A 6,528-nucleotide genomic window follows, 5' to 3' on the forward strand; every position below is an offset into this window, starting at 1 on the left:
TCTGACAAGAGATTAATAACTAGAATATTTATGGAGCTAAAACAACTATATAGGAAAAAAAACCTACTAATCCAATCAAAAATGGGCAGAAGATTTGAATAGACATTTCTCAAAAGAAGACGTACAAATGGCATATGACCTAAAACCATAAAACTCCAAAAAGAAAATAAAGGGGAAAATATTGAGATTGGCCTTGGCAATGATTTCTTGAGTATCACAACTTAAGCTCAGGCTACAAAAGAAAAAATAAATAAATGAGACCACATCAAACTAAAAAGCTTCTTCACAGCAAAGAAAACAATTACCAAAATAAAAAGGCAACCTACAGACTGGGAAAAATATTCACAAACCATATATCAGGTAAGAGGTTAATATCCAAGCTATATAAGGAAGTCATACAACTCAATAAGAAGAAAATATATTACCTGATTTAAAAATGGGCAAATGGCTGGGCTCTGTGCTGGGTGCCTGTAATCCCAGCTACTGGGGAGGTTGAAGCAGGAGAATGGCTTACCCCCGAACCCAGGAGGTGGAGGTTGCAGTGAGCCAAGGTCGTGCAACTGCATTTCAGCCTGGGCGACAGAGTGAGACTTTGTCTCTAAATAAATAAATAAATAAAACCTGGCAATGGACTTGAATAGACTTTTCTCCAAAGATGACATTAAAATGGCCAACAGGTACGTGAAAAGGTGCTCAACACCACTAACCATCAATAAAATGCATATCAAAATCACTAAGAGATACCACCTTACACCTGTGAAGATAGTTATTCTCAAAGACACAAGCGATAACAAGTGTTGGCAAAAATCTGGAGAAAATGGGACCCTTGTACACTGTTGGTAGAAAGGTACATTGGTGCAGTCACTATAAAAAAAACAGTATGGAGTTTCCTAAAGTTCATCTCCTCTGTTGACGCATTGTGTCCAGCTTCTCACCTGAAGTCCAACACAGTGGGCCTCCACCTTGGTTGCATATTGGAATTACCAGAGGCTTAAAAATTACTGATGTCTGAGTTTCATCTCTGGATATCCTAACAGACTTTGTCTGGTAATGAGAAGAAAAGAAAACAGTTGATTCTAATGTATACACAAGATGGACAACCACTAATCTAGAGAGATTCAGAGTGGGGGACTTTGATGAAGTCTGCCAACAAAAGGGGCTAAGATAAGGGGTGCATTTTAAGGTGCTGAAATAAAGTGGCTGACGAGATTGGAGAGGACATTGAATCAGCTGAGCTTGGTGATGATGGGGGTCAGGGCAGGGAGTCCAGCGTAGCTTCCAGGGTCCTGGCTTAGACAGCAGGAAGGATGAGGCAGGGAAGACTGGAGATAGGAAAAGTACTTGCAAGGGGAGACATATTACACTTGAGATGCCTGTTAGAGTTCCATATAAAGATGGTGAGTATGGAGTTGGACACAGTAGTCTGGAGCCTGGGGAAAGAGCCACTGCGCAGGTAAAATTGCATATCATTTAAAGGCTGAGGGATTGGTGAAACCACCCTAGGGAGGAAGTATAGAAAAGAAGAAAGCTCAGAAACAAACCTTTTGAGTACTCCAATACTGGCTTGGGAAACTAAAACACAAAGTGATTTTTAAAAGCAGCCAATATCTATTAGACAATTTGGGCCAAGCACTGTTCTAAAGGTTTTACTTGCTTTAACGCATTTAATCCTCTCAACAGGTCTATGAGTCAGGTCATAACTAACTCTAAAAGTTAATTTTAGAGAGAGAAAGTTCTCCACTGAGAACTTTCAAGTTCAGTCCCTATTCCTTTCCCTTTGCCCCATATCTGAGCAAGATAGGTGCTTTGTCCCTTGGTACCAGTAGAAATTGCAAACCATTAAAAGACCAACCCCATGCGTAAACCTTCACCCCAGCTCCACCCTTAACCACAATAAAAACCCAAAGCCACCCACCACTACTTCACTCCTAATTCACTCCAGACAGAGCCTAAGGCTTTCTCTTTGGGGAATACTTTTGCTGTTTACTATGTGAGTAATAAACCGTATGCTTTTCCTATGGCTGCTGTAAATTACCACAAAATTAGTGTCTTAAAACAACAAAAAAAATTATTTTCTCACACTTCTAGAAGGCAGGAGTCCAAAATCAGTTTCACTTGTCTGAAATCAAGGTGTTGACAGGACTATACTCCATGCAGAGGCTCTATGGGAGGACCTGTTCTTTGCCACTTCAAGCCTCTGATGGCTGCTTGTATCCCTTGGCTTGTGACTGCATCACTCTAATCCTCAAAACCAGCATCTTCAAGTCTCTATCTGCTCGTCTTTATATTGGTGTCTCTTCCGTGTGTTTGTAAAATCTTTCTGTGCCTCCTTCTTATAAGGATACAAGTCATTGCATTTCTGTATCACTCAGATAATCCAGGATAATCTCCCTATCTCAAGATCCTTAATCGCAGAAAAATCCACAAAGACTCTATTTTCAAATATGTTGACGTTTTCAGTTTCCAGGGATTAGAATCTGATGTATTCTGGGGCTCTATTTCAGCCTACTGCAACATCTATTGGTGCCTATGTGTCATTTGTGCCAACATCCATAAACCTTTGGGGTGAACATTACATAGTGTCCAGCAGGGGATCCTAAACCCTCAAACAAAACAATAATAGTAGCAGTTCGCAGATGATTGAACTGAAGGAACACTGGAGGTTGGGGAATTGGAGAAAGATGTGTTTGGTTTTCTTTTCTTTCAACAGGACTACTCCCTCATTTCCTAGAAAACTCTTGAGTCCTTAACAGCAAGGCCACAAGGAGTGAAAAGGCTATCTGGGGTACAATACGCTGGCTTGGAAGTGTCGAGGGGAACAAAATAAAGAGATGTCTAGACTCAAAGGAGCACACCAGTTCATAATTATAGAATTAGCTGATTGCACTGTGACCGGAGAAAATACTCTGAATGCATTCAGGGAACTAGCAACGGTCTACAAAGCTGGAGTGGATTTTCAGGTCTATTTGTACGGAATTAAAGCTACAGTTGTTCTATATCATCCTACTTTTAAGAAGCAGCAGATATTCAATTTACATCAGTAGTTACCTTGACAGTAGTTACTTTTGAGTTCTGTTTTTCCTGATTATTAGGCTTCCTCTGGCATTTTGTTCTTTATAATTCTTTATCAGCACCTCCTGCAGTTTCCTGTGACAGTTTATCTAGTGCATATGATTAGTTGTATCCTTCAACAGTTTTCAATGAGTTTAGATTAAGTTCACTTTCCCCACGAAGTCAGAATACTGGGTCCACACTGCCACTAACTTACTATGTGACATAGAATAATCCCTTCTTCTATTCAGGTTTCAAGTTTTGCATCTGAACGGCAAGGGAAGTGTACGGCCCTGTTTGAAAGTGTACTGTCCTTCATGGCTGCTGAAGCATCCTGGGGTGACCCAGAGAGAGATAATTATAAACAAGCGTCATGATGCAAACGGAAACTTAAGCATGCCTCTTAAACCACAGTACTGCTGACCAACATAGGAGGCTGGTGCCCTGCAAGGTCTCAAGGTGATCCTAAATTCTACTACATGGCATTAGGCATAGAAAGGCAATCATTCTTGGAAGGACTGTAACAGATCTCATTCTCGGCAATTACTGTAGGTGGGAATGAGAAAATTCTTTTATGTTGAACAAAAGCCTTTAGGTCTTTTCCAAGCAGTGGAAAACTGCCTAGATGGACACACCAAACCACCCTGATGGAAGAATTTAGAATGTCTAATTTAAAAAACAGGCACATGGCAATGCAATGAAGGCCTCTGCCTCTTTTCCATTTCTTTTCCTCTACCCTGCTTGCTCCACTGTGTTTAAACAATGTTCTCTGGAAATTTGAAAGCTTCACTGTAATCATTTTTATTAGGTTTAAGCAAGTATTAAATTAATTAGCAAAATACAGCAGTCAAATAACCAGCTTAATGTGCTCATGGGGTATACAGCCTTTAAAGAGTCTCTTTATTCCACTTGAATTAAGCCACCTCCCTCTAGCATAGGACAGTAAGGAGAGCATGGGTTTTGAGCCTGATAATGCTGGGCTGGAATCTCAGCTCTATTGCTTTCTATGTGACCTTGGGCAAGTTGCTTAACCTTTCTGGGCCTCCATTTTCTCATTTATAAAATCAGCTACTCACTATGTTAAGTGGTTTACATGAATTGTATCATTTAATCTCACAGTAACTTCTGAGTTGAGTGTCATCTGCTTTTTGCAACAATTAAGTGAGATCACTCAGGTGAGCATATACTCAGGTGAGATACTCAGCTGAGTACATAGTAGGTATTCAAGAAAATTGTAGCCAGTTGTTACTATATGCTCAGCTTTATGCTGTGGAAAAAAACCATGAAGTATTTACTCATCAAGTATAAATTGAACACATCATATGTGCTTATTTAAAAAGCAGAGAAGCAATGTCCAAAGGAAGACCATGACTCAGTTTCTGAATCTTGACTGGTTCTCTTTTTGGAAGGGTTTGAATGAGGTTGGATTAAACACCCCTGCTGGACAGATGAGCCCCAAGAGTCACAGGGCTAAATATAAACCAAATGAAAGGCAGACAAGACTTGAGACATTCAAGTAGTCTCTGCAAGAGAAGACAGGGGCTTGCATTCCTCTCCCACAAAATCTTTACAGCATGATCTCCCCTCAAGTTGGCCTCGATTCATTGACCACATCCCTCCCCTCTCACTGTCTGTCTCAAATGCTCCTTGCAGAGCTTGCCAACCTCCTACTCTTTGATCTTCCTGGCCTTCTTCAGGTTATTCCCCAGTTCTAACAGAAGACATACATTTACATTGAAATTCAACTCATCCTACAAGTTTGAATGGCACCCTCCTGAGGATGGTATCAAGATTGAAGGTTGAGGCTTTATATGGCATATGGTGAAAATAATTGCTCTTTAATATAATGAGAACTGATTGGAGTAGTTTGATCCCTATTAAAAGCATCACAAATGTATGGTTAATTTTCTAAATAAAAGCAAGAGTGATACGTATGTAGTATGCATAAACCAATTATAAACACAAAGCAATTAATAAAATGTTAGCACTCCCCATCAGATGTCAGCTTATTGCCAGATACCAATAATGTGTAACCTTAGGTATCTATATAATATACATACTGTGCTGCATAGATTAACATACAAATACTTTTTAATTACATGATTACATGTGACTTATAGATTTATATATGAAGAAAACACAGTTAACCAATGAAAAAACTATAAAGATGGCTGAGGCACTAAATAGCCTAAATAATAAAGGAATGTCAGAGGCTAAAATATGGTACCAATAGCATCAGTAATTTAAAATGAGAAATGCAGGACTGCAGCCAAGATGGCCGAATAGGAACAGCTCCGGTCTACAGCTCCCAGCGTGAGCGATGCAGAAGAGGGTGATTTCTGCATTTCCATCTGAGGTACTGGGTTCATCTCACTAGGGAGTGCCAGACAGTGGGTGCGTGCACCGTGTGTGAGCCGAAGCAGGGTGAGGCATTGCCTCACTTGGGAAGCACAAGGGGTCAGGGAGTTCCCTTTCCGAGTCAAAGAAAGGGGTGACGGACGCACCTGGAAAATCGGGTCACTCCCACTTGAATACTGCGCTTTTCCGACCGGCTTAAAAAATGGCGCACCACGAGATTATATCCCGCACCTGGCTCGGAGGGTCCTACGCCCACGGAGTCTCGCTGATTGCTAGCACAGCAGTCTGAGATCAAACTGTAAGGCGGCAGCGAGGCTGGGGGAGGGGCGCCCGCCGTTGCCCAGGCTTGATTAGGTAAACAAAGCAGCCCAGAAGCTTGAAATGGGTGGAGCCCACCACAGCTCAAGGAGGCCTGCCTGCCTCTGTAGGCTCCACCTCTGGGGGCAGGGCACAAACAAAAAGACAGCAGTAACCTCTGCAGACTTAAATGTCCCTGTCTGACAGCTTTGAAGAGAGCAGTGGTTCTCCCAGCTCGCAGCTGGAGATCTGAGAACGGGCAGACTGCCTCCTCAAGTGGGTCCCTGACCCCTGACCCCCGAGCAGCCTAACTGGGAGGCACCCCCCAGCAGGGGCACACTGACACCTCACACGGCAGGGTATTCCAACAGACCTACAGCTGAGGGTCCTGTCTGTTAGAAGGAAAACTAACAAACAGAAAGGACATCCACACCAAAAACCCATCTGTACATCACCATCATCAAAGACCAAAAGTAGATAAAACCACAAAGATGGGGAAAAAACAGAACAGAAAAACTGGAAACTCTAAAAAGCAGAATGCCTCTCCTCCTCCAAAGGAACGCAGTTCCTCACCAGCAACGGAAGAAAGCTGGATGGAGAATGACTTTGACGAGCTGAGAGAAGAAGGCTTCAGACGATCAAATTACTCCGAGCTATGGGAGGACATTCAAACCAAAGGCAAAGAAGTTGAAAACTTTGAAAAAAATTTAGAAGAATGTATAACTACAATAACCACTACAGAGAAGTGCTTAAAGGAGCTGATGGAGCTGAAAACCAACGCTCAAGAACTATGTGAAGAATGCAGAAGCCTCAGGAGCCGAT

General features: G+C 41.9%; 1 annotated feature.

Annotated features, from left to right (window-relative positions):
- Positions 5,614–6,185: an enhancer, noted in NCBI's record as "H3K27ac-H3K4me1 hESC enhancer chrX:148517664-148518235 (GRCh37/hg19 assembly coordinates)". NCBI's record gives its function as "activates a minimal SCP1, AML or CMV promoter by ChIP-STARR-seq in naive H9 embryonic stem cells {active_cell/tissue: H9 hESC(naive)}" and the evidence as "EXISTENCE:reporter gene assay evidence [ECO:0000049][PMID:30033119]".

Source organism: Homo sapiens, chromosome X (genome assembly GCF_000001405.40).
Source record: "Homo sapiens chromosome X, GRCh38.p14 Primary Assembly".
Lineage (NCBI taxonomy): Eukaryota > Metazoa > Chordata > Mammalia > Primates > Hominidae > Homo > Homo sapiens.